Source organism: Homo sapiens, chromosome 1, assembly GCF_000001405.40.
Source record: "Homo sapiens chromosome 1, GRCh38.p14 Primary Assembly".
Classification (NCBI taxonomy): Eukaryota; Metazoa; Chordata; class Mammalia; order Primates; family Hominidae; genus Homo; species Homo sapiens.
In genome coordinates, this window is record NC_000001.11 from 2,664,081 (window position 1) to 2,691,389 (window position 27,309).

A 27,309-nucleotide genomic window follows, 5' to 3' on the forward strand; every position below is an offset into this window, starting at 1 on the left:
CACCTCGAGGTGAGCATCTGTCCTCCCGGAGCAGGACCCATACCTCCAGGCGAGCATCTGAACCCATGGAGCAGCACACACGCCCCCAGGCGAGCATCTGACCGAACGGAGCAGCACCCACAATCCCAGGCGAGCATCTGACAGCCTTTAACAGCACCCACAACCCCAGGTGAGCATCTGACAGCCCGCAGCAGCACCCACACGCACAGGTGAGAATCTGACAGCCCGGAGCAGCACCCACACCCCCAGGGGAGCATCTGACCGCATGGAGCAGCACCCACACCCCCAGGGGAGCATCTGAAATCCTGGAGCTGCACCGACAACACCAGGTGAGCATCTGAGAGCCTGGAACAGCTCCCGCACCCCCAGGTGAGAATCTGACAGCCTGGAAGAGCACCCCATATCCCCGGGTGAGCATCTGACAGCCTGGAACAGCACCCACTCCCCCAGGTGAGCACCTGACAGACTGGAACAGCACCCACAGGCCCAGGTGTGCCTCTGACAGCTTGGAACAGCACGCGCACCCCGAGGTGAGCATCTGACAGCCTGGAACAGCACCCACACCCCCAGGCGAGCATCTGATAGCCTGGAACAGCACCCACACCCCCAGGAGAGCATCCGGCAGCCTGCAGCAGAACCCACACCAACAGGCGAGCATCTGACAGCCTGGGTCGGCACCCACACCCCCAGGTGAGCATCTGACGGCCTGGAACAGCACCCACACCCCCAGGTGAGCATCTGACATCGTGGAGCAGCACCCCACACCCACAGGTGAGCATCTGACAGCCTGGAGCAGCACCCACACCCCCAGGTGAGCATCTGACAGCCTGGAACAGCACCCTGCACCCCCAGGTGAGCATCCGACAGCCTGGAGCAGCAACCACACTCCCAGGCGAGCATCCGATGACCTGGAGCAGCACCCACAACCCCAAGTGAGCATCTGATTGTCTGGAGCAGCACCCACAACCACAGGTGAGCATCGTAGAGTCTGGAGCAGCGCCCACAGCCACAGGCGAGCATCTGACAGCCCGGAGCAGTGCCCACACCCCGAGGTGAGCATCTGACAACAGGGAGCAGCACCCATAGCCCATGGTGAGCACCTGACAACCTGGAGCAGCACCCACACACCCAGGTGAGCATCTGATGGTCTGGAGCAGCACCCACAACCACAGGTGAGCATCGGAGAGTCAGGAGCAGTGCCCACACACCCAGGCGAGCATCTGACAGCCTGGAGCAGTGCCCACACCCCCAGGTGAGCATCTGACATCGTGGAGCAGCACCCCACACCCACAGGTGAGCATCTGACAGCCTGGAGCAGCACCCACACCCCCAGGTGAGCATCTGACAGCCTGGAACAGCACCCACATCCCCAGGTGAGCCTCTGACATCGTCGAGCAGCACCCCACACCCACAGGTGAGCATCTGACAGCCTGGAACAGCACCCACACCCCCAGGTGAGAATCTGATGTTCTGGAGCATCACACACAACCACAGGTGAGCATCGGAGAGTCTGGAGCAGCACCCACAACCCAAGGTGAGCATCTGACAACCTGGAGCAGCACCCACACCCCGAGGTGAGCATCTGACCTCCCGGAGCAGGACCCATACCTCCAGGCGAGCATCTGAACCCATGGAGCAGCACCCACGCCCCCAGGCGAGCATCTGACCGAACAGAGCAGCACCCACAACCCCATGCGAGCATCTGACAGCCTGGAACAGCACCCACAACCCCAGGTGAGCATCTGACAGCCCGCAGCAGCAACCACACGCACAGGTGAGAATCTGACAGCCCGTAGCAGCACCCACACCCCCAGGGGAGCATCTGACATCCTGGAGCAGCACCGACAACCCCAGGTGAGCATATGAGAGCCTGGAACAGCACCCACAACCCCAGGTGAGAATCTGACAGCCTGGAAGAGCACCCCACATCACCGGGTGAGCATCTGACAGCCTGGAACAGCAACCATACCCTCAGGTAAGCATCTGACAGACTGGAACAGCACCCACACGCCCAGGTGAGCCTCTGACAGCCTGGAACAGCACGCGCAAACCCAGGTGAGCATCTGACAGCCTGGAACAGCACCCACACCCACAGGTGAGCATCTGACAGCATGTAACAGCACCCACACCCCCAGGTGAGCATCTGACAGCCTGCAACAGCACCCTGCACCCCCAGGTGCGCACGTGACAGCCTGGAAGAGCACCCACACCCCAAGGCGAGCATCTGACGGCCTGGAACGGCACCCACACCCCCAGGCGAGCATCGGACAGCCTGGAGCAGCACCCCACACCCCCAGGTGAGCATCCGACAGCCTGGAGCAGCACCCACACCCCCAGGTGAGCATGTGACAGCCTGGAAGAGCACCCACACCCCCAGGCGAGCATCTGACAGCCTGGGTCGGCAACCACACACGCAGGTGCGCATCTGATGGTCTGGAGCAGCACCCACACCAACAGGTGAGCATCTGACAGCCTGGAACAGAACCCACACCCCCAGGTGAGCATGTGACAGACTGGAACAGCACCCACATGCCCAGGTGAGCCTCTGACAGCCTGTAACAGCAGCCTGCACCCCCAGGTGCGCCCGTGACAGCCTGGAACAGCACCGACACCCACAGGCGAGCATCTGACGGCCTGGAACAGCACCCACACCCCCAGGTGAGCATTGGACAGCCTGGAGCAGCACCCACAACCCCAGGCGGGCAACCGACAACCTGGAGCAGCACCCACACCCACAGTTGAGCATCTGACTTCGTGGAGCATAACCCCACACGCACAGGTGAGCATCTGACAGCCTGGAGCTGCACCCACACCCTCAGGTGAGTCTCTGACAGCCTGGAACAGCACCCTGCACACCCAGGTGAGCATCCGACAGCCTGGAGCAGCACCCACACCCCCAGTTGAGCAACTGATGGTCTGGAGCAGCACCCACAACCACAGGTGAACATCAGAGAGTCTGGAGCAACGCCCACAACCCCAGGCGAGCATCTGACAGCCTGGAGCAGTGCCCAAACACCCAGGTGAGCATCTGACAGCATGGAGCAGCACCCATAGCCCAAGGTGAGCATCTGACAACCTGGAGCAGCACCCACACCCCGAGGTGAGCATCTGACCTCCCGGAGCAGGACCCATACCTCCAGGCGAGCATCTGAACCCATGGAGCAGCACCCACGCCCCCAGGCGAGCATCTGACCGAACAGAGCAGCACCCACAACCCCATGCGAGCATCTGTCAGCCTGGAACAGCACCCACAACCCCAGGTGAGCATCTGACAGCCCGCAGCAGCAACCACACGCACAGGTGAGAATCTGACAGCCCGTAGCAGCACCCACACCCCCAGGGGAGCATCTGACATCCTGGAGCAGCACCGACAACCCCAGGTGAGCATCTGAGAGCCTGGAACAGCACCCACAACCCCAGGTGAGAATCTGACAGCCTGGAAGAGCACCCCACATCACCGGGTGAGCATCTGACAGCCTGGAACAGCAACCATACCCTCAGGTAAGCATCTGACAGACTGGAACAGCACCCACACGCCCAGGTGAGCCTCTGACAGCCTGGAACAGCACCCACACCCCCAGGCGAGCATCCGACAGCCTGGAGCAGCACCCACACACCCAGGTGAGCAACTGACAGCCTGGAGCAGCACCCACACACCCAGGTGATCATCTGACAGCCTGGTACAGCACGCTGCCCCCCCAGGTGAGCATCTGACAGCCTGGAACAGCACACACACCCCCAGGCGAGCATCTGACAACCTGGAACAGCACCCATACGCCCAGATGAGCATCTGACAGCCTGGAACAGCACCCTGCACCCCCAGGTGAGCATCTGACAGCCTGGAACAGCACCCACACCCCCAGGTGAGCATCTGTCCGCATCACATGGCATCCTCACCCCCAGTTGCGCATCTGATGGTCTGGAGCAGCACCCACACCCACAGGTGAGCATCAGACAGCCTGGAACCGCAGCCACACCCCCAGGCGAGCATCTGACAGCCTGGAGCAGCATCCACACCCCCAGGTGAGCATTTGACAGCCTGGAACAGCACTCACACCCCCAGGAGAGCATCCGGCAGCCTGGAGCGGAACCCACGGCCACAGGCGAGCATCTGAGAGCCTGGGTCGGCACCCACACCCCCAGGTGAGCATCTGATGGTTTGCGGCAACACCGACACCCACAGGTGAGCATCTGACAGCCTGGAACAGAACCCACACGCCCAGGTGAGCATCTGACAGCCTGGAACAACAGCCTGCACCACCAGGTGCGCATGTGACAGCCTGGAACAGCACCAACACCCCCAGGCGAGCATCTGACGGCCTGGAACAGCACCCACACCCCCAGGTGAGCATCAGACAGCCTGGAACAACACCCATACCCACAGGTGAGCATCTGACATCGTGGAGCAGCACCCCACACCCACAGGTGAGCATCTGACAGCCTGGAGCAGCACCCACACCCCCAGGTGAGCATCTGACAGCCTGGAACAGCACCCACACCCCCAGGTGAGAATCTGATTGTCTGGAGCATCACACACAACCACAGGTGAGCATCGGAGAGTCTGGAGCAGCACCAACATCCCAAGGTGAGCATCTGACAACCTGGAGCAGCACCCACACCTCGAGGTGAGCATCTGTCCTCCCGGAGCAGGACCCATACCTCCAGGCGAGCATCTGAACCCATGGAGCAGCACACACGCCCCCAGGCGAGCATCTGACCGAACGGAGCAGCACCCACAATCCCAGGCGAGCATCTGACAGCCTTTAACAGCACCCACAACCCCAGGTGAGCATCTGACAGCCCGCAGCAGCACCCACACGCACAGGTGAGAATCTGACAGCCCGGAGCAGCACCCACACCCCCAGGGGAGCATCTGACCGCATGGAGCAGCACCCACACCCCCAGGGGAGCATCTGAAATCCTGGAGCTGCACCGACAACACCAGGTGAGCATCTGAGAGCCTGGAACAGCTCCCGCACCCCCAGGTGAGAATCTGACAGCCTGGAAGAGCACCCCATATCCCCGGGTGAGCATCTGACAGCCTGGAACAGCACCCACTCCCCCAGGTGAGCACCTGACAGACTGGAACAGCACCCACAGGCCCAGGTGTGCCTCTGACAGCTTGGAACAGCACGCGCACCCCGAGGTGAGCATCTGACAGCCTGGAACAGCACCCACACCCCCAGGCGAGCATCTGATAGCCTGGAACAGCACCCACACCCCCAGGAGAGCATCCGGCAGCCTGCAGCAGAACCCACACCAACAGGCGAGCATCTGACAGCCTGGGTCGGCACCCACACCCCCAGGTGAGCATCTGACGGCCTGGAACAGCACCCACACCCCCAGGTGAGCATCTGACATCGTGGAGCAGCACCCCACACCCACAGGTGAGCATCTGACAGCCTGGAGCAGCACCCACACCCCCAGGTGAGCATCTGACAGCCTGGAACAGCACCCTGCACCCCCAGGTGAGCATCCGACAGCCTGGAGCAGCAACCACACTCCCAGGCGAGCATCCGATGACCTGGAGCAGCACCCACAACCCCAAGTGAGCATCTGATTGTCTGGAGCAGCACCCACAACCACAGGTGAGCATCGTAGAGTCTGGAGCAGCGCCCACAGCCACAGGCGAGCATCTGACAGCCCGGAGCAGTGCCCACACCCCGAGGTGAGCATCTGACAACAGGGAGCAGCACCCATAGCCCATGGTGAGCACCTGACAACCTGGAGCAGCACCCACACACCCAGGTGAGCATCTGATGGTCTGGAGCAGCACCCACAACCACAGGTGAGCATCGGAGAGTCAGGAGCAGTGCCCACACACCCAGGCGAGCATCTGACAGCCTGGAGCAGTGCCCACACCCCCAGGTGAGCATCTGACATCGTGGAGCAGCACCCCACACCCACAGGTGAGCATCTGACAGCCTGGAGCAGCACCCACACCCCCAGGTGAGCATCTGACAGCCTGGAACAGCACCCACATCCCCAGGTGAGCCTCTGACATCGTCGAGCAGCACCCCACACCCACAGGTGAGCATCTGACAGCCTGGAACAGCACCCACACCCCCAGGTGAGAATCTGATGTTCTGGAGCATCACACACAACCACAGGTGAGCATCGGAGAGTCTGGAGCAGCACCCACAACCCAAGGTGAGCATCTGACAACCTGGAGCAGCACCCACACCCCGAGGTGAGCATCTGACCTCCCGGAGCAGGACCCATACCTCCAGGCGAGCATCTGAACCCATGGAGCAGCACCCACGCCCCCAGGCGAGCATCTGACCGAACAGAGCAGCACCCACAACCCCATGCGAGCATCTGACAGCCTGGAACAGCACCCACAACCCCAGGTGAGCATCTGACAGCCCGCAGCAGCAACCACACGCACAGGTGAGAATCTGACAGCCCGTAGCAGCACCCACACCCCCAGGGGAGCATCTGACATCCTGGAGCAGCACCGACAACCCCAGGTGAGCATCTGAGAGCCTGGAACAGCACCCACAACCCCAGGTGAGAATCTGACAGCCTGGAAGAGCACCCCACATCACCGGGTGAGCATCTGACAGCCTGGAACAGCAACCATACCCTCAGGTAAGCATCTGACAGACTGGAACAGCACCCACACGCCCAGGTGAGCCTCTGACAGCCTGGAACAGCACGCGCAACCCCAGGTGAGCATCTGACAGCCTGGAACAGCACCCACACCCACAGGTGAGCATCTGACAGCATGTAACAGCACCCACACCCCCAGGTGAGCATCTGACAGCCTGCAACAGCACCCTGCACCCCCAGGTGCGCACGTGACAGCCTGGAAGAGCACCCACACCCCAAGGCGAGCATCTGACGGCCTGGAACGGCACCCACACCCCCAGGCGAGCATCGGACAGCCTGGAGCAGCACCCCACACCCCCAGGTGAGCATCCGACAGCCTGGAGCAGCACCCACACCCCCAGGTGAGCATGTGACAGCCTGGAAGAGCACCCACACCCCCAGGCGAGCATCTGACAGCCTGGGTCGGCAACCACACACGCAGGTGCGCATCTGATGGTCTGGAGCAGCACCCACACCAACAGGTGAGCATCTGACAGCCTGGAACAGAACCCACACCCCCAGGTGAGCATGTGACAGACTGGAACAGCACCCACATGCCCAGGTGAGCCTCTGACAGCCTGTAACAGCAGCCTGCACCCCCAGGTGCGCCCGTGACAGCCTGGAACAGCACCGACACCCACAGGCGAGCATCTGACGGCCTGGAACAGCACCCACACCCCCAGGTGAGCATTGGACAGCCTGGAGCAGCACCCACAACCCCAGGCGGGCAACCGACAACCTGGAGCAGCACCCACACCCACAGTTGAGCATCTGACTTCGTGGAGCATAACCCCACACGCACAGGTGAGCATCTGACAGCCTGGAGCTGCACCCACACCCTCAGGTGAGTCTCTGACAGCCTGGAACAGCACCCTGCACACCCAGGTGAGCATCCGACAGCCTGGAGCAGCACCCACACCCCCAGTTGAGCATCTGATGGTCTGGAGCAGCACCCACAACCACAGGTGAACATCAGAGAGTCTGGAGCAGCGCCCACAACCCCAGGCGAGCATCTGACAGCCTGGAGCAGTGCCCAAACACCCAGGTGAGCATCTGACAGCATGGAGCAGCACCCATAGCCCAAGGTGAGCATCTGACAACCTGAAGCAGCACCCACACACCGAGGTGAGCATCTGACCTCCCGGAGCAGCACCAGTACCCCCAGGCGAGCATCTGAACTCATGGAGCAGCACCCACACCCCCAGGCGAGCATCTGACCGAACGGAGCAGCACCCACAACCCCAGGCGAGCATCTGACAGCATGAAACAGCACCCAGAACTCCAGGTGAGCATCTGACAGCCCGCAGTAGCACCCACAAGCACAAGTGAGAATCTGACAGCCCAGAGCAGCACCCACACCCCCAGGGGAGCATCTGACCGCATGGAGCAGCACCCACACCCCCAGGAGAGCATCCGGCAGCCTGCAGCAGAACCCACACCAACAGGCGAGCATCTGACAGCCTGGGTCGGCACCCACACCCCCAGGTGAGCATCTGACGGCCTGGAACAGCACCCACACCCCCAGGTGAGCATCTGACATCGTGGAGCCGCACCCCACACCCACAGGTGAGCATCTGACAGCCTGGAGCAGCACCCACACCCCCAGGTGAGCATCTGACAGCCTGGAACAGCACCCTGCACCCCCAGGTGAGCATCCGACAGCCTGGAGCAGCACCCACCACTCCCAGGCCAGCATCCGATAACCTGGAGCAGCACCCACAACCCCAAGTGAGCATCTGATTGTCTGGAGCAGCACCCACAACCACAGGTGAGCATCGTAGAGTCTGGAGCAGCGCCCACAGCCCCACACGAGCATCTGACAGCCCGGAGCAGTGACCACACCTCCAGGTGAGCATCTGACAACAGGGAGCAGCACCCATAGCCCATGGTGAGCATCTGACAACCTGGAGCAGCACCCACACCCCCAGGTGAGCATCTGATGATCTGGAGCAGCACCCACAACCACAGGTGAGCATCGGAGAGTCAGGAGCAGTGCCCACACACCCAGGCGAGCATCTGACAGCCTGGAGCAGTGCCCACACCCCCAGGTGAGCATCTGACAGCGTGGAGCAGCACCCACAGCCCAAGGTGAGCATCTGACAACCTGGAGCAGCACCCACGCCCCCAGGCGAGCATCTGAACACACGGAGCAGCACCCACACCCCCAGGCGAGCATCCGACAGCCTGGAGCAGCACCCACACACCCAGGTGAGCAACTGACAGCCTGGAGCAGCACCCACACACCCAGGTGATCATCTGACAGCCTGGAACAGCACGCTGCCCCCCCAGGTGAGCATCTGACAGCCTGGAACAGCACACACACCCCCAGGCGAGCATCTGACAACCTGGAACAGCACCCATACGCCCAGATGAGCATCTGACAGCCTGGAACAGCACCCTGCACCCCCAGGTGAGCATCTGACAGCCTGGAACAGCACCCACACCCCCAGGTGAGCATCTGACCGCATCACATGGCATCCTCACCCCCAGTTGCGCATCTGATGGTCTGGAGCAGCACCCACACCCACAGGTGAGCATCAGACAGCCTGGAACCGCAGCCACACCCCCAGGCGAGCATCTGACAGCCTGGAGCAGCATCCACACCCCCAGGTGAGCATTTGACAGCCTGGAACAGCACTCACACCCCCAGGAGAGCATCCGGCAGCCTGGAGCGGAACCCACGGCCACAGGCGAGCATCTGAGGGCCTGGGTCGGCACCCACACCCCCAGGTGAGCATCTGATGGTTTGCGGCAACACTGACACCCACAGGTGAGCATCTGACAGCCTGGAACAGAACCCACACGCCCAGGTGAGCATCTGACAGCCTGGAACAACAGCCTGCACCACCAGGTGCGCATGTGACAGCCTGGAACAGCACCAACACCCCCAGGCGAGCATCTGACGGCCTGGAACAGCACCCACACCCCCAGGTGAGCATCAGACAGCCTGGAACAACACCCATACCCACAGGTGAGCATCTGACATCGTGGAGCAGCACCCCACACCCACAGGTGAGCATCTGACAGCCTGGAGCAGCACCCACACCCCCAGGTGAGCATCTGACAGCCTGGAACAGCACCCACACCCCCAGGTGAGAATCTGATTGTCTGGAGCATCACACACAACCACAGGTGAGCATCGGAGAGTCTGGAGCAGCACCAACATCCCAAGGTGAGCATCTGACAACCTGGAGCAGCACCCACACCTCGAGGTGAGCATCTGTCCTCCCGGAGCAGGACCCATACCTCCAGGCGAGCATCTGAACCCATGGAGCAGCACACACGCCCCCAGGCGAGCATCTGACCGAACGGAGCAGCACCCACAATCCCAGGCGAGCATCTGACAGCCTTTAACAGCACCCACAACCCCAGGTGAGCATCTGACAGCCCGCAGCAGCACCCACACGCACAGGTGAGAATCTGACAGCCCGGAGCAGCACCCACACCCCCAGGGGAGCATCTGACCGCATGGAGCAGCACCCACACCCCCAGGGGAGCATCTGAAATCCTGGAGCTGCACCGACAACACCAGGTGAGCATCTGAGAGCCTGGAAAAGCTCCCGCACCCCCAGGTGAGAATCTGACAGCCTGGAAGAGCACCCCATATCCCCGGGTGAGCATCTGACAGCCTGGAACAGCACCCACTCCCCCAGGTGAGCACCTGACAGACTGGAACAGCACCCACAGGCCCAGGTGTGCCTCTGACAGCTTGGAACAGCACGCGCACCCCGAGGTGAGCATCTGACAGCCTGGAACAGCACCCACACCCCCAGGCGAGCATCTGATAGCCTGGAACAGCACCCACACCCCCAGGAGAGCATCCGGCAGCCTGCAGCAGAACCCACACCAACAGGCGAGCATCTGACAGCCTGGGTCGGCACCCACACCCCCAGGTGAGCATCTGACGGCCTGGAACAGCACCCACACCCCCAGGTGAGCATCTGACATCGTGGAGCAGCACCCCACACCCACAGGTGAGCATCTGACAGCCTGGAGCAGCACCCACACCCCCAGGTGAGCATCTGACAGCCTGGAACAGCACCCTGCACCCCCAGGTGAGCATCCGACAGCCTGGAGCAGCAACCACACTCCCAGGCGAGCATCCGATGACCTGGAGCAGCACCCACAACCCCAAGTGAGCATCTGATTGTCTGGAGCAGCACCCACAACCACAGGTGAGCATCGTAGAGTCTGGAGCAGCGCCCACAGCCACAGGCGAGCATCTGACAGCCCGGAGCAGTGCCCACACCCCGAGGTGAGCATCTGACAACAGGGAGCAGCACCCATAGCCCATGGTGAGCACCTGACAACCTGGAGCAGCACCCACACACCCAGGTGAGCATCTGATGGTCTGGAGCAGCACCCACAACCACAGGTGAGCATCGGAGAGTCAGGAGCAGTGCCCACACACCCAGGCGAGCATCTGACAGCCTGGAGCAGTGCCCACACCCCCAGGTGAGAATCTGACAGCCCGTAGCAGCACCCACACCCCCAGGGGAGCATCTGACATCCTGGAGCAGCACCGACAACCCCAGGTGAGCATCTGAGAGCCTGGAACAGCACCCACAACCCCAGGTGAGAATCTGACAGCCTGGAAGAGCACCCCACATCACCGGGTGAGCATCTGACAGCCTGGAACAGCAACCATACCCTCAGGTAAGCATCTGACAGACTGGAACAGCACCCACACGCCCAGGTGAGCCTCTGACAGCCTGGAACAGCACGCGCAACCCCAGGTGAGCATCTGACAGCCTGGAACAGCACCCACACCCACAGGTGAGCATCTGACAGCATGTAACAGCACCCACACTCCCAGGTGAGCATCTGACAGCCTGCAACAGCACCCTGCACCCCCAGGTGCGCACGTGACAGCCTGGAAGAGCACCCACACCCCAAGGCGAGCATCTGACGGCCTGGAACGGCACCCACAACCCCAGGCGAGCATCGGACAGCCTGGAGCAGCACCCCACACCCCCAGGTGAGCATCCGACAGCCTGGAGCAGCACCCACACCCCCAGGTGAGCATGTGACAGCCTGGAAGAGCACCCACACCCCCAGGCGAGCATCTGACAGCCTGGGTCGGCAACCACACACGCAGGTGCGCATCTGATGGTCTGGAGCAGCACCCACACCAACAGGTGAGCATCTGACAGCCTGGAACAGAACCCACACCCCCAGGTGAGCATGTGACAGACTGGAACAGCACCCACATGCCCAGGTGAGCCTCTGACAGCCTGTAACAGCAGCCTGCACCCCCAGGTGCGCCCGTGACAGCCTGGAACAGCACCGACACCCACAGGCGAGCATCTGACGGCCTGGAACAGCACCCACACCCCCAGGTGAGCATTGGACAGCCTGGAGCAGCACCCACAACCCCAGGCGGGCAACCGACAACCTGGAGCAGCACCCACACCCACAGTTGAGCATCTGACTTCGTGGAGCATAACCCCACACGCACAGGTGAGCATCTGACAGCCTGGAGCTGCACCCACACCCTCAGGTGAGTCTCTGACAGCCTGGAACAGCACCCTGCACACCCAGGTGAGCATCCGACAGCCTGGAGCAGCACCCACACCCCCAGTTGAGCATCTGATGGTCTGGAGCAGCACCCACAACCACAGGTGAACATCAGAGAGTCTGGAGCAGCGCCCACAACCCCAGGCGAGCATCTGACAGCCTGGAGCAGTGCCCAAACACCCAGGTGAGCATCTGACAGCATGGAGCAGCACCCATAGCCCAAGGTGAGCATCTGACAACCTGGAGCAGCACCCACACCCCGAGGTGAGCATCTGACCTCCCGGAGCAGCACCAGTACCCCCAGGCGAGCATCTGAACTCATGGAGCAGCACCCACACCCCCAGGCGAGCATCTGACCGAACGGAGCAGCACCCACAAACCCAGGCGAGCATCTGACAGCATGAAACAGCACCCAGAACTCCAGGTGAGCATCTGACAGCCCGCAGTAGCACCCACAAGCACAAGTGAGAATCTGACAGCCCAGAGCAGCACCCACACCCCCAGGGGAGCATCTGACCGCATGGAGCAGCACCCACACCCCCAGGAGAGCATCCGGCAGCCTGCAGCAGAACCCACACCAACAGGCGAGCATCTGACAGCCTGGGTCGGCACCCACACCACCAGGTGAGCATCTGACGGCCTGGAACAGCACCCACACCCCCAGGTGAGCATCTGACATCGTGGAGCCGCACCCCACACCCACAGGTGAGCATCTGACAGCCTGGAGCAGCACCCACACCCCCAGGTGAGCATCTGACAGCATGGAACAGCACCCTGCACCCCCAGGTGAGCATCCGACAGCCTGGAGCAGCACCCACCACTCCCAGGCCAGCATCCGATAACCTGGAGCAGCACCCACAACCCCAAGTGAGCATCTGATTGTCTGGAGCAGCACCCACAACCACAGGTGAGCATCGTAGAGTCTGGAGCAGCGCCCACAGCCCCACGCGAGCATCTGACAGCCCGGAGCAGTGACCACACCTCCAGGTGAGCATCTGACAACAGGGAGCAGCACCCATAGCCCATGGTGAGCATCTGACAACCTGGAGCAGCACCCACACCCCCAGGTGAGCATCTGATGATCTGGAGCAGCACCCACAACCACAGGTGAGCATCGGAGAGTCAGGAGCAGTGCCCACACACCCAGGCGAGCATCTGACAGCCTGGAGCAGTGCCCACACCCCCAGGTGAGCATCTGACAGCGTGGAGCAGCACCCACAGCCCAAGGTGAGCATCTGACAACCTGGAGCAGCACCCACGCCCCCAGGCGAGCATCTGAACACACGGAGCAGCACCCACACCCCCAGGCGAGCATCCGACAGCCTGGAGCAGCACCCACACACCCAGGTGAGCAACTGACAGCCTGGAGCAGCACCCACACACCCAGGTGATCATCTGACAGCCTGGAACAGCACGCTGCCCCCCCAGGTGAGCATCTGACAGCCTGGAACAGCACACACACCCCCAGGCGAGCATCTGACAGCCTGGAACAGCACCCATACGCCCAGATGAGCATCTGACAGCCTGGAACAGCACCCTGCACCCCCAGGTGAGCATCTGACAGCCTGGAACAGCACCCACACCCCCAGGTGAGCATCTGACCGCATCACATGGCATCCTCACACCCAGTTGCGCATCTGATGGTCTGGAGCAGCACCCACACCCACAGGTGAGCATCAGACAGCCTGGAACCGCAGCCACACCCCCAGGCGAGCATCTGACAGCCTGGAGCAGCACCCTGCACCCCCAGGTGAGCATCCGACAGCCTGGAGCAGCAACCACACTCCCAGGCGAGCATCCGATGACCTGGAGCAGCACCCACAACCCCAAGTGAGCATCTGATTGTCTGGAGCAGCACCCACAACCACAGGTGAGCATCGTAGAGTCTGGAGCAGCGCCCACAGCCACAGGCGAGCATCTGACAGCCCGGAGCAGTGCCCACACCCCGAGGTGAGCATCTGACAACAGGGAGCAGCACCCATAGCCCATGGTGAGCACCTGACAACCTGGAGCAGCACCCACACACCCAGGTGAGCATCTGATGGTCTGGAGCAGCACCCACAACCACAGGTGAGCATCGGAGAGTCAGGAGCAGTGCCCACACACCCAGGCGAGCATCTGACAGCCTGGAGCAGTGCCCACACCCCCAGGTGAGCATCTGACATCGTGGAGCAGCACCCCACACCCACAGGTGAGCATCTGACAGCCTGGAGCAGCACCCACACCCCCAGGTGAGCATCTGACAGCCTGGAACAGCACCCACATCCCCAGGTGAGCCTCTGACATCGTCGAGCAGCACCCCACACCCACAGGTGAGCATCTGACAGCCTGGAACAGCACCCACACCCCCAGGTGAGAATCTGATGTTCTGGAGCATCACACACAACCACAGGTGAGCATCGGAGAGTCTGGAGCAGCACCCACAACCCAAGGTGAGCATCTGACAACCTGGAGCAGCACCCACACCCCGAGGTGAGCATCTGACCTCCCGGAGCAGGACCCATACCTCCAGGCGAGCATCTGAACCCATGGAGCAGCACCCACGCCCCCAGGCGAGCATCTGACCGAACAGAGCAGCACCCACAACCCCATGCGAGCATCTGACAGCCTGGAACAGCACCCACAACCCCAGGTGAGCATCTGACAGCCCGCAGCAGCAACCACACGCACAGGTGAGAATCTGACAGCCCGTAGCAGCACCCACACCCCCAGGGGAGCATCTGACATCCTGGAGCAGCACCGACAACCCCAGGTGAGCATCTGAGAGCCTGGAACAGCACCCACAACCCCAGGTGAGAATCTGACAGCCTGGAAGAGCACCCCACATCACCGGGTGAGCATCTGACAGCCTGGAACAGCAACCATACCCTCAGGTAAGCATCTGACAGACTGGAACAGCACCCACACGCCCAGGTGAGCCTCTGACAGCCTGGAACAGCACGCGCAACCCCAGGTGAGCATCTGACAGCCTGGAACAGCACCCACACCCACAGGTGAGCATCTGACAGCATGTAACAGCACCCACACCCCCAGGTGAGCATCTGACAGCCTGCAACAGCACCCTGCACCCCCAGGTGCGCACGTGACAGCCTGGAAGAGCACCCACACCCCAAGGCGAGCATCTGACGGCCTGGAACGGCACCCACACCCCCAGGCGAGCATCGGACAGCCTGGAGCAGCACCCCACACCCCCAGGTGAGCATCCGACAGCCTGGAGCAGCACCCACACCCCCAGGTGAGCATGTGACAGCCTGGAAGAGCACCCACACCCCCAGGCGAGCATCTGACAGCCTGGGTCGGCAACCACACACGCAGGTGCGCATCTGATGGTCTGGAGCAGCACCCACACCAACAGGTGAGCATCTGACAGCCTGGAACAGAACCCACACCCCCAGGTGAGCATGTGACAGACTGGAACAGCACCCACATGCCCAGGTGAGCCTCTGACAGCCTGTAACAGCAGCCTGCACCCCCAGGTGCGCCCGTGACAGCCTGGAACAGCACCGACACCCACAGGCGAGCATCTGACGGCCTGGAACAGCACCCACACCCCCAGGTGAGCATTGGACAGCCTGGAGCAGCACCCACAACCCCAGGCGGGCAACCGACAACCTGGAGCAGCACCCACACCCACAGTTGAGCATCTGACTTCGTGGAGCATAACCCCACACGCACAGGTGAGCATCTGACAGCCTGGAGCTGCACCCACACCCTCAGGTGAGTCTCTGACAGCCTGGAACAGCACCCTGCACACCCAGGTGAGCATCCGACAGCCTGGAGCAGCACCCACACCCCCAGTTGAGCATCTGATGGTCTGGAGCAGCACCCACAACCACAGGTGAACATCAGAGAGTCTGGAGCAGCGCCCACAACCCCAGGCGAGCATCTGACAGCCTGGAGCAGTGCCCAAACACCCAGGTGAGCATCTGACAGCATGGAGCAGCACCCATAGCCCAAGGTGAGCATCTGACAACCTGGAGCAGCACCCACACCCCGAGGTGAGCATCTGACCTCCCGGAGCAGCACCAGTACCCCCAGGCGAGCATCTGAACTCATGGAGCAGCACCCACACCCCCAGGCGAGCATCTGACCGAACGGAGCAGCACCCACAAACCCAGGCGAGCATCTGACAGCATGAAACAGCACCCAGAACTCCAGGTGAGCATCTGACAGCCCGCAGTAGCACCCACAAGCACAAGTGAGAATCTGACAGCCCAGAGCAGCACCCACACCCCCAGGGGAGCATCTGACCGCATGGAGCAGCACCCACACCCCCAGGAGAGCATCCGGCAGCCTGCAGCAGAACCCACACCAACAGGCGAGCATCTGACAGCCTGGGTCGGCACCCACACCCCCAGGTGAGCATCTGACGGCCTGGAACAGCACCCACACCCCCAGGTGAGCATCTGACATCGTGGAGCCGCACCCCACACCCACAGGTGAGCATCTGACAGCCTGGAGCAGCACCCACACCCCCAGGTGAGCATCTGACAGCCTGGAACAGCACCCTGCACCCCCAGGTGAGCATCCGACAGCCTGGAGCAGCACCCACCACTCCCAGGCCAGCATCCGATAACCTGGAGTAGCACCCACAACCCCAAGTGAGCATCTGATTGTCTGGAGCAGCACCCACAACCACAGGTGAGCATCGTAGAGTCTGGAGCAGCGCCCACAGCCCCACGCGAGCATCTGACAGCCCGGAGCAGTGACCACACCTCCAGGTGAGCATCTGACAACAGGGAGCAGCACCCATAGCCCATGGTGAGCATCTGACAACCTGGAGCAGCACCCACACCCCCAGGTGAGCATCTGATGATCTGGAGCAGCACCCACAACCACAGGTGAGCATCGGAGAGTCAGGAGCAGTGCCCACACACCCAGGCGAGCATCTGACAGCCTAGAGCAGTGCCCACACCCCCAGGTGAGCATCTGACAGCGTGGAGCAGCACCCACAGCCCAAGGTGAGCATCTGACAACCTGGAGCAGCACCCACGCCCACAGGCGAGCATCTGAACACACGGAGCAGCACCCACACCCCCAGGCGAGCATCCGACAGCCTGGAGCAGCACCCACACACCCAGGTGAGCAACTGACAGCCTGGAGCAGCACCCACACACCCAGGTGATCATCTGACAGCCTGGAACAGCACGCTGCCCCCCCAGGTGAGCATCTGACAGCCTGGAACAGCACACACACCCCCAGGCGAGCATCTGACAACCTGGAACAGCACCCATACGCCCAGATGAGCATCTGACAGCCTGGAACAGCACCCTGCACCCCCAGGTGAGCATCTGACAGCCTGGAACAGCACCCACACCCCCAGGTGAGCATCTGACCGCATCGCATGGCATCCTCACCCCCAGTTGCGCATCTGATGGTCTGGAGCAGCATCCACACCCACAGGTGAGCATCAGACAGCCTGGAACCGCAGCCACACCCCCAGCGAGCACCTGACAGCCTGGAGCAGCATCCACACCCCCAGGTGAGCATTTGACAGCCTGGAACAGCACTCACACCCCCAGGAGAGCATCCGGCAGCCTGGAGCGGAACCCACGGCCACAGGCGAGCATCTGAGAGCCTGGGTCGGCACCCACACCCCCAGGTGAGCATCTGATGGTTTGCGGCAACACCGACACCCACAGGTGAGCATCTGACAGCCTGGAACAGAACCCACACGCCCAGGTGAGCATCTGACAGCCTGGAACAACAGCCTGCACCACCAGGTGCGCATGTGACAGCCTGGAACAGCACCAACACCCCAAGGCGAGCATCTGACGGCCTGGAACAGCACCCACACCCCCAGGTGAGCATCAGACAGCCTGGAACAACACCCATACCCACAGGTGAGCATCTGACATTGTGGAGCAGCACCCCACACCCACAGGTGAGCATCTGACAGCCTGGAGCAGCACCCACACCCCCAGGTGAGCATCTGACAGCCTGGAACAGCACCCTGCACCCCCAGGTGAGCATCCGACAGCCTGGAGCAGCACCCACCACTCCCAGGCCAGCATCCGATAACCTGGAGCAGCACCCACAACCCCAAGTGAGCATCTGATTGTCTGGAGCAGCACCCACAACCACAGGTGAGCATCGTAGAGTCTGGAGCAGCGCCCACAGCCCCACGCGAGCATCTGACAGCCCGGAGCAGTGACCACACCTCCAGGTGAGCATCTGACAACAGGGAGCAGCACCCATAGCCCATGGTGAGCATCTGACAACCTGGAGCAGCACCCACACCCCCAGGTGAGCATCTGATGATCTGGAGCAGCACCCACAACCACAGGTGAGCATCGGAGAGTCAGGAGCAGTGCCCACACACCCAGGCGAGCATCTGACAGCCTGGAGCAGTGCCCACACCCCCAGGTGAGCATCTGACAGCGTGGAGCAGCACCCACAGCCCAAGGTGAGCATCTGACAACCTGGAGCAGCACCCACGCCCCCAGGCGAGCATCTGAACACACGGAGCAGCACCCACACCCCCAGGCGAGCATCCGACAGCCTGGAGCAGCACCCACACACCCAGGTGAGCAACTGACAGCCTGGAGCAGCACCCACACACCCAGGTGATCATCTGACAGCCTGGAACAGCACGCTGCCCCCCCAGGTGAGCATCTGACAGCCTGGAACAGCACACACACCCCCAGGCGAGCATCTGACAACCTGGAACAGCACCCATACGCCCAGATGAGCATCTGACAGCCTGGAACAGCACCCTGCACCCCCAGGTGAGCATCTGACAGCCTGGAACAGCACCCACACCCCCAGGTGAGCATCTGACCGCATCGCATGGCATCCTCACCCCCAGTTGCGCATCTGATGGTCTGGAGCAGCACCCACACCCACAGGTGAGCATCAGACAGCCTGGAACCGCAGCCACACCCCCAGGCGAGCATCTGACAGCCTGGAGCAGCATCCACACCCCCAGGTGAGCATTTGACAGCCTGGAACAGCACGCACAGCCCCAGGAGAGCATCCGGCAGCCTGGAGCGGAACCCACGGCCACAGGCGAGCATCTGAGAGCCTGGGTCGGCACCCACACCCCCAAGTGAGCATCTGATGGTTTGCAGCAGCACCCACACCCACAGGTGAGCATCTGACAGCCTGGAACAGAATCCACACCCCCAGGTGAGCATCTGACAGACTGGAACACCACCCTGCACCCCCAGGTGAGCATCTGATGGCTTGGAACAGCACCCACACGCCCAGGTGAGCATCCGATAGCCTGGAACACCACCCTTCACCCCCAGGTGAGCATCCGACAGCCTGGAGCAGCACCCACACCACCAGGCGAGCATCTGACAGCCTGGAACGGCACCCACACCACCAGGTGAGCATCTGATGGTCTGGAGCAGCACCCACAACCACAGGTGAGCATCCGACAGCCTGGAACAGCACCCACACACTCAGGCGAGCATCTGACATCCTTCAGCAGCACCCACACCCCCAGGTGAGCATCTGACAGCCTGGAGCAGCACGCTGCACCCCCAGGTGACGATCTGACAGCCTGGAACAGCACCCACACCCCCAGGTGAGCAGCTGATATCCTGGAACAGCACCCACACCCCCAGGTGAGCATCTGACAGGCTGGAGCAGCACGCACACCCCCAGTTGAGCATCTGACAGCCGGGAACAGCACCCACACCCCCAGGTGAACATCCGACAGCCTGGAGCAGAACCCACACCCCGAGGCGAGCATCTGACAGCCTGGGTCGGCACCCACACCTCCAGGTGAGCATCTGATGGTCTGGAGCAGTACCCACACCCACAGTTGAGCATCTGACAGCCTGGAGCAGCATCCTGCACCCCCAGGTGAGCATCTGACAGCCTGGAACAGCACCCTGCAGCCCCAGGTGAGCATTTGACAGCCTGGAACAGCACCCACATCCCCAGGTGAGCATCCGATAGCCTGGAGCAGCACCCACACCCTCAGGTGAGCATCTGACAGACTGGAACAGCAACCACACCCACAGGCGAGCATCTGACAGCCTGGAGCAACACTCACACCCCCAGGTGAGCATCTGACAGCCTGGAACAGCACGCACAGCCCCAGGAGAGCATCCGGCAGCCTGGAGCGGAACCCACGCCCACAGGCAAGCATATGACAGCCTGGGTCGGCACCCACACCCCCAAGTGAGCATCTGATGGTTTGCAGCAGCACCCACACCCACAGGTGAGCATCTGACAGCCTGGAACAGAATCCACACCCCCAGGTGAGCATCTGACAGACTGGAACACCACCCTGCACCCCCAGGTGAGCATCTGACGGCCTGCAACAGCACCCACACACCCAGGCGAGCATCTGATGGCCTGGAACGGCACCCACACCCCCAGGTGAGCATCCGACATCCTGAAACAGCTCCCACAACCCCAGGTGAGCATCCGATAGCCTGGAGCAACACCCATACCCCCAGGTGAGCATCTGACCGCATGGAATGGCATCCTCACCTCCAGGTGAGCATCCGACAGCCTGGAGCAGCACCCACACGCCCAGGTGAGCATCTGACAGCCTGGAACGGCAACCACACCCCCAGGCGAGCATCCGACAGCCTGGAACAGCACCAAAAACCCCAGGTGAGCATCTGACGGCCTGGAACAGCACCCACACCCCCAGGTGAGCATCTGACATCGTGCAGCAGCACCCCACACCCACAGGTGAGCATCTGACAGCCTGGAGCAGCACCCACACCCCAGGTGAGCATCTGACAGCCTGGAACAGCACCCTGCACACCCAGGTGAGCATCCGACAGCCTGGAGCACCACCCACACCCCCAGACGAGCATCTGACAGCTTAGAACAGCACCCATACCCCCAGGCGAGCATCTGACAGCATGTAACAGCACCCACACCCACAGGTGAGCATCTGACAGCCTGGAACAGCAGCCTGCACCCCCAGGTGTGCACGTGACAGCTTGGATCAGCACCCACACCCCCAGGCGAGCATCGGACGGCCTGGAACAGCACCCACAACCCCACGTGAGCATCTGACTGCCTGGAACAGCACCCACACCCCCAGGTGAGCATCTGACATCGTGGAGCAGCACCCACACCCCAGGTGAGCATCTGAGAGCCTGGAACAGCACCCTGCACCCCCAGGTGAGCATCCCACAGCCTGGAGCAGCACACACACCCACAAGCGAGCATCTGACAGCCTGGAACGGCACCCACACCCCTAGGTGAGCATCTGATGTTCTGGAGCATCACCCACAACCACAGGTGAGCATCGGAGAGTCTGGAGCAGCGCCCACACTGCAGGGCGAGCATCTGACAGCCTGGAGCAGTGCCCACACCCCCAGGTGAGCATCTGACACCATGGAGCAGCACCCACAGACCAAGGTGAGCATCTGACAACCTGGAGCAGCACCCACACTCCCAGGCGAGTATCTGTACGCACAGAGCAGCACCCACACCCCCAGGCGAGCATCCGACAGCCTGGAGCAGCACCCACACCCTCAGGTGAGCATCTGACAGCCTGGAGCAGAACCCACACCCCCAGGCGAGCATCTGACAGCCTGGGTCCGCACCCACACCCCCAGGTGCGCATCTGATGGTCTGGAGCAGAACCCACACCCACAGGTGAGCATCTGACAGCCTGGAACAGAACCCACACCCCCAGGTGAGCATCTGACAGACTGGAACGGCACCCCCATGCCCAGGTGAGCCTCTGACAGCCTGGAACAGCACCCTGCACCCCCAGGTGAGCATCTGACAGCCTGGAACAGCACGCACACCCCCAGGTGAGCATGTGACAGCCGGGAACAGCACCCACACCCACAGGCGAGCATCTGACTGCATGTATCAGCACCCACACCCCCAGGTGAGCATCTGACAGCCTGGAACAGCACCCTGCACCCCCAAGTGAGCATCCGACAGCCTGGAGAAGCACCCACACCCCCAGGCGAGCATCTGACAGCCTGGAACGGCACCCACACCCGCAGGTGAGCATCTGATGGTCTGGAGCAGCACGCATAACCACAGGTGAACATCGGAGAGTCTGGAGCAGCGCCCACACCCCCAGGCGAGCATCTGACAGCCTGGAGCAGTGCCCACACCCCCAGGTGAGCATCTGACAGCGTGGAGGAGCACCCACACCCCCAGGCGAGCATCTGAACGCACGGAGCAGCACCCACACCTCCAGGCGAGCATCCGACAGCCTGGAGCAGCACCCACACCCCCAGGTGCGCATGTGATGGTCTGGAGCAGCACCCACACCCACAGGTGAGCATCTGACAGCCTGGAACAGAACCCACACCCCCAGGTGAGCATCTGACAGACTGGAACAGCACCCACATGCCCAGCTGAGCCTGTGACAGCCTCGAACAGCACCCTGCACCCCCAGGGGAGCATCTGACAGCCTGGAACAGCACGCACACACCCAGGTGAGCATCTGACCGCCTGGAACAGCACACACACCCCCAGGCGAGCATCTGACAGCATGTAACAGCACCCACACACCCAGGTGAGCATCTGACAGCCTGGAACAGCACCCTGCACCCCCAGGTGCGCACGTGACAGCCTGGAACAGCACACACACCCCCAGGCGAGCATCTGACAGCCTGGAACGGCACCCACACCCCCAGGTGAGCATGTGACAGCCTGGATCAGCACCCACACCCCCAGGCGAGCATCTGACAGCCTGGAGCAGCACCCCACACCCCCAGGTGAGCATCGGACAGCCTGGAGCAGCACCCACACCCCCTGATGAGCATCTGACAGCCTGGAACAGCACCCACACTCCCAGACGAGCATCGGACAGCCTGGAGCAGCACCCACACTGCCAGGCGAGCATCCGCCAGCCTGGAAAAGCACCCACACCCCCAGGTGAGCATTCGACAGCCTGGAGCAGCACCCACAACCCCAGGCGTGCATCCGACAGCCTGGAGCAGGACCCACACCCCCAGGTGAACATCCGACATCGTGGAGTAGCACCCCACACCCACAGGTGAGCATCTGACAGCCTGGAACAGTACCCACACACACAGGCGAGCATCTGAACCCACGGAGCAGCACCCACACCTCCCGGCGAGCATCCGACAGCCTGGAGCAGCACCCACACCCCCAGGTGCGCATCTGATGGTCTGGAGCAGCACCCACAACCACAGGTGAGCATCTGACATCGTGGAACAGCACCCCAAACCCACAGGTGAGCATCCGACAGCCTGGAGCAGCACCCCCACCCCCAGGCGAGCATCTGACAGCCTGGAACGGCACCCACACCCCCAGGTGAGCATCTGATGGTCTGGAGCAGCACCCACAACCACAGGTGAGCATCCGACAGCCTGGAACAGCACCCACACACTCAGGCGAGCATCTGACATCCTTGAGCAGCACCCACACCCCCAGGTGAGCATCTGACAGCATGGAGCAGCACGCTGCACCGCCAGGTGACGATCTGACAGCCTGGAACAGCACCCACACCCCCAGGTGAGCAGCTGATATCCTGGAACAGCACCCACACCCCCAGGTGAGCATCTGACAGGCTGGAGCAGCACGCACACCCCCAGTTGAGCATCTGACAGCCGGGAACAGCACCCACACCCCCAGGTGAACATCCGACAGCCTGGAGCAGAACCCACACCCTGAGGCGAGCATCTGACAGCCTGGGTCGGCACCCACACCTCCAGGTGAGCATCTGATGGTCTGGAGCATTACCCACACCCACAGTTGAGCATCTGACAGCCTGGAACAGAACCCACATCCCCAGGTGAGCATCTGACAGACTGGAACAGCACCCACACGCCCAGGTGAGCCTCTGACAGCCTGGAACAGCACGCGCACCCCCAGGAGAGCATCTGACAGCCTGGAACAGGACCCACACCCCCAGGCGAGCATCTGACTGCATGTAACAGCACCCACACCCCCAGGTAAGCATCTGACAGCCTGGAACAGCACCCTGCACCCCCAGGTGCGCACGTGACAGCCTGGAACAGCACCCACACCCCCAGGCGAGCATCTGACGGCCTGGAAGGGCACCCACACCCCCAGGCGAGCATCGGACAGCCTGGAGCAGCACCCCACACCCCCAGGGGAGCATCCGACAGCCTGGAGCAGCACCCACACCCCCAGGGGAGCATGTGACAGCCTGGATCAGCACCCACACTCCCAGGCGAGCATCTGACAGCCTGGAGCAGAACCCCACACCCCCAGGTGAGCATCGGACAGCCTGGAGCAGCACCCACACGCCCAGGTGAGCATCTGACAGCCTGGAACAGCACCCACACCCCCAGGTGAGCATCCGACAGCCTGGAGCAGGACCCACACCCCTAGGTGAACATCCGACATTGTGGAGCAGCACCCCACACCCACAGGTGAGCATCTGACAGCCTGTAACAGTACCCACACCCACAGGCGAGCACCTGAACCCACGGAGCAGCACCCACACCTTCCGGCGCGCATCCGACAGCCTGGAGCAGCACCCACACCCCCAGGTGCGCATCTGATGGTCTGGAGTAGCACCCACAACCACAGGTGAGCCTCTGACAGCCTGGAACAGCACCCTGCACCCCCAGGAGAGCATCTGACAGCCTGGAACAGCGGGCACACCCCCAGGTGAGGATCTGACCGCCTGGAACAGCACCCACATCCCCAGGCGAGCATCTGACAGCATGTAACAGCACCCATACCCCCAGGTGAGCATCTGACAGCCTGGAACAGCACCCTGCACCCCCAGGTGCGCACGTGACAGCGTGGAACAGCACCCACACACCCAGGTGAGCATCTGACAGCCTGGAGCAGCACCCACATCCCCAGGTGAGCATCTGACAGCCTGGAACAGCACCCTGCACCCCCAGGTGAGCATCGGACACCCTGGAACAGCACACACACCCCCAGGCGAGCATCTGACACCCTGGAACTGCACACACACCCCCAGGCGAGCATCTGACAACCTGGAACAGCACCCATACGCCCAGATGAGCATCTGACAGCGTGGAACAGCACCCTGCACCCCCAGGAGAGCATCTGACAGCCTGGAACAGCACCCATACGCCCAGATGAGCATCTGACAGCCTGGAACAGCTCCCTGCACCCTCAGGTGCGCACATGACAGCCTGGAACAGCACCCACACACCCAGGCGAGCATCTGACGGCCTGGAAACGCACCCACAGACCGAGGTGAGCATCCGACATCCTGAAACAGCTCCCACACCCCCAGGTGAGCATCCCACATCCTGAAACAGCTCCCACACCCCCTGGTGAGCATCCGACAGCCTGGAGCAGCACCCATACCCCCAGGTGAGCATCTGACCGCATGGAATGGCATCCTCACCTCCAGGTGAGCATCGGAGAGTCTGGAGCAGCGCCCACACCCCCAGGCGAGCATCTGACAGCCTGGAGCAGTGCCCAGAGCCCCAGGTGAGCATCTGACAGCATGGTTCAGAACCCATAGCCCAAGGTGAGCATCTGACAACCTGGAGCAGCACCCATACCCCCAGGCGAGCATCTGAACTCACGGAGCAGCACCCACACCCCAAGGCGAGCATCCGACAGCCTGGAGCAGCAGCCACACCCCCAGGTGCGCATGTGATGGTCTGGAGCAGCACCCACACCCACAGGTGAGCATCTGACAGCCTGGAACAGAAACCCCACCCTCAGGTGAGCATCTGACAGACTGGAACAGCACCCACATGCCCAGGTGAGCCTCTGACAGCCTGGAACAGCACCCTGCACCCCCAGGTGAGCATCTGACAGCCTGGAACAGCACGCAAACCCCCAGGTGAGCATCTCACAGCTTGGAACAGCACCCCGCACCCCCAGGCGAGCATCTGACAGCATGTAACAGCACCCACACCCCCAGGTGAGCATCTGACAGCCTGGAACAGCAGCCTGCACCCCCAGGTGCGCATGTGATAGCCTGGAACAGCACCCACACCGCCAGGCGAGCATCTGACGGCCTGGAACAGCACCCACACCCCCAGGTGAGTATCTGACTGCCTGGAACAGCACCCACACCCCAAGGTGAGCATCTGACATCGTGGAGCAGCACCCCACACCCACAGGTGAGCATCTGACAGCCTGGAGCAGCACCCACACCCCAGGTGAGGATCTGACAGCCTGGAACAGCACCCTGCACACCCAGGTGAGCATCCGACAGCCTGGAGCAGCACCCACACCTCCAGGTGAGCATTTGACCTCCCAGAGCAGCACCCATACCCCCAGGCGAGCATCTGAACTCATGGAGCAGCACCCACACCCCCAGGCGAGCATCTGACCCAACGGAGCAGAACCCAGAACCCCAGGCGAGCATCTGACAGCCTGGAACAGCACCCACAACCACAGGTGAGCATCTGAAAGCCCGCAGCATCACCCGCACGCACAGATGAGAATCTGACAGCCCGGAGCAGCACCCACACCCCCAGGGGAGCATCTGACCGCATGGAGCAGCACCCACACCCCCAGGGGAGCATCTGACATCCTGGAGCAACACTGACAACCCCAGGTGAGCATCTGAGAGGCTGGAACAGCACCCACACCCCCAGGTGAGAATCTGACAGCCTGGAAGAGCACCCCACATCCCCGGGTGAGCATGCGATAGCCTGGAGCAGCACCCACACCCTCAGGTGAGCATCTGACAGCCTGGAACAGCAACCACACCACCATGCGAGCATCTGACAGCCTGGAGCAGCACCCACACCCCCAGGTGAGCATCTGACAGCCTGGAACAGAACCCACACCTCCAGGTGAGCATCTGACAGCCTGGAGCAGCACCCACACCCCCAGGTGAGCATCTGACAGCCTGGAACAGAACCCACACCTCCAGGTGAGCATCTGACAGACTGGAACAGCACCCACACCCCTAGGAGAGCATCCGGCAGCCTGGAGCGGAACCCACACCAACAGGCGAGCATCTGACAGCCTCGGTCAGCACCCACAAACCCAGGTGAGCATCTGATGCTTTGGAGCAGCACCCACACCTTCAGGTGAGCATCTGACAGCCTGGAACAGAACCCACACCGCCAGGGGAGTATCTGACAGACTGGAACAGCACCCTGCTTCCCCAGGTGAGCATCTGACGGCCTGGAACAGCACCCACACGCCCAGGTGAGCATCTGACAGCCTGCAACAGCACCCACACCCCCAGGTGAGAATCCGACAGCCTGGAGCAGCACCCACAACCCCAGGCGAGCATCCGACAGCCTGGAGCAGCACCCACACCCCCAGGTGAGCATCTGACAGCCTGGAACAGCAAACTGCACACCCAGG

General features: G+C 62.3%; 1 protein-coding gene across 1 annotated transcript in view, besides 10 other annotated features; it reads right to left on the reverse strand.

Annotated features, from left to right (window-relative positions):
- Positions 1–27,309, reverse strand: part of TTC34 (tetratricopeptide repeat domain 34) — a 164,708-nt gene that overhangs the window by 27,095 nt on the left and 110,304 nt on the right. The window lies entirely within an intron of this gene.
- Positions 1,911–2,411: an enhancer, noted in NCBI's record as "OCT4-H3K4me1 hESC enhancer chr1:2597430-2597930 (GRCh37/hg19 assembly coordinates)". NCBI's record gives its function as "activates a minimal SCP1, AML or CMV promoter by ChIP-STARR-seq in naive H9 embryonic stem cells {active_cell/tissue: H9 hESC(naive)}" and the evidence as "EXISTENCE:reporter gene assay evidence [ECO:0000049][PMID:30033119]".
- Positions 2,412–2,912: an enhancer, noted in NCBI's record as "OCT4-H3K4me1 hESC enhancer chr1:2597931-2598431 (GRCh37/hg19 assembly coordinates)". NCBI's record gives its function as "activates a minimal SCP1, AML or CMV promoter by ChIP-STARR-seq in naive and primed H9 embryonic stem cells {active_cell/tissue: H9 hESC(naive and primed)}" and the evidence as "EXISTENCE:reporter gene assay evidence [ECO:0000049][PMID:30033119]".
- Positions 5,081–5,582: an enhancer, noted in NCBI's record as "OCT4 hESC enhancer chr1:2600600-2601101 (GRCh37/hg19 assembly coordinates)". NCBI's record gives its function as "activates a minimal SCP1, AML or CMV promoter by ChIP-STARR-seq in primed H9 embryonic stem cells {active_cell/tissue: H9 hESC(primed)}" and the evidence as "EXISTENCE:reporter gene assay evidence [ECO:0000049][PMID:30033119]".
- Positions 6,265–7,001: an enhancer, noted in NCBI's record as "OCT4-H3K4me1 hESC enhancer chr1:2601784-2602520 (GRCh37/hg19 assembly coordinates)". NCBI's record gives its function as "activates a minimal SCP1, AML or CMV promoter by ChIP-STARR-seq in naive and primed H9 embryonic stem cells {active_cell/tissue: H9 hESC(naive and primed)}" and the evidence as "EXISTENCE:reporter gene assay evidence [ECO:0000049][PMID:30033119]".
- Positions 7,737–8,472: an enhancer, noted in NCBI's record as "OCT4-H3K4me1 hESC enhancer chr1:2603256-2603991 (GRCh37/hg19 assembly coordinates)". NCBI's record gives its function as "activates a minimal SCP1, AML or CMV promoter by ChIP-STARR-seq in naive H9 embryonic stem cells {active_cell/tissue: H9 hESC(naive)}" and the evidence as "EXISTENCE:reporter gene assay evidence [ECO:0000049][PMID:30033119]".
- Positions 11,538–12,117: an enhancer, noted in NCBI's record as "OCT4 hESC enhancer chr1:2607057-2607636 (GRCh37/hg19 assembly coordinates)". NCBI's record gives its function as "activates a minimal SCP1, AML or CMV promoter by ChIP-STARR-seq in naive and primed H9 embryonic stem cells {active_cell/tissue: H9 hESC(naive and primed)}" and the evidence as "EXISTENCE:reporter gene assay evidence [ECO:0000049][PMID:30033119]".
- Positions 12,118–12,697: an enhancer, noted in NCBI's record as "OCT4-H3K4me1 hESC enhancer chr1:2607637-2608216 (GRCh37/hg19 assembly coordinates)". NCBI's record gives its function as "activates a minimal SCP1, AML or CMV promoter by ChIP-STARR-seq in naive H9 embryonic stem cells {active_cell/tissue: H9 hESC(naive)}" and the evidence as "EXISTENCE:reporter gene assay evidence [ECO:0000049][PMID:30033119]".
- Positions 13,913–14,414: an enhancer, noted in NCBI's record as "OCT4 hESC enhancer chr1:2609432-2609933 (GRCh37/hg19 assembly coordinates)". NCBI's record gives its function as "activates a minimal SCP1, AML or CMV promoter by ChIP-STARR-seq in naive H9 embryonic stem cells {active_cell/tissue: H9 hESC(naive)}" and the evidence as "EXISTENCE:reporter gene assay evidence [ECO:0000049][PMID:30033119]".
- Positions 15,167–16,058: an enhancer, noted in NCBI's record as "OCT4 hESC enhancer chr1:2610686-2611577 (GRCh37/hg19 assembly coordinates)". NCBI's record gives its function as "activates a minimal SCP1, AML or CMV promoter by ChIP-STARR-seq in naive H9 embryonic stem cells {active_cell/tissue: H9 hESC(naive)}" and the evidence as "EXISTENCE:reporter gene assay evidence [ECO:0000049][PMID:30033119]".
- Positions 18,264–19,088: an enhancer, noted in NCBI's record as "OCT4 hESC enhancer chr1:2613783-2614607 (GRCh37/hg19 assembly coordinates)". NCBI's record gives its function as "activates a minimal SCP1, AML or CMV promoter by ChIP-STARR-seq in primed H9 embryonic stem cells {active_cell/tissue: H9 hESC(primed)}" and the evidence as "EXISTENCE:reporter gene assay evidence [ECO:0000049][PMID:30033119]".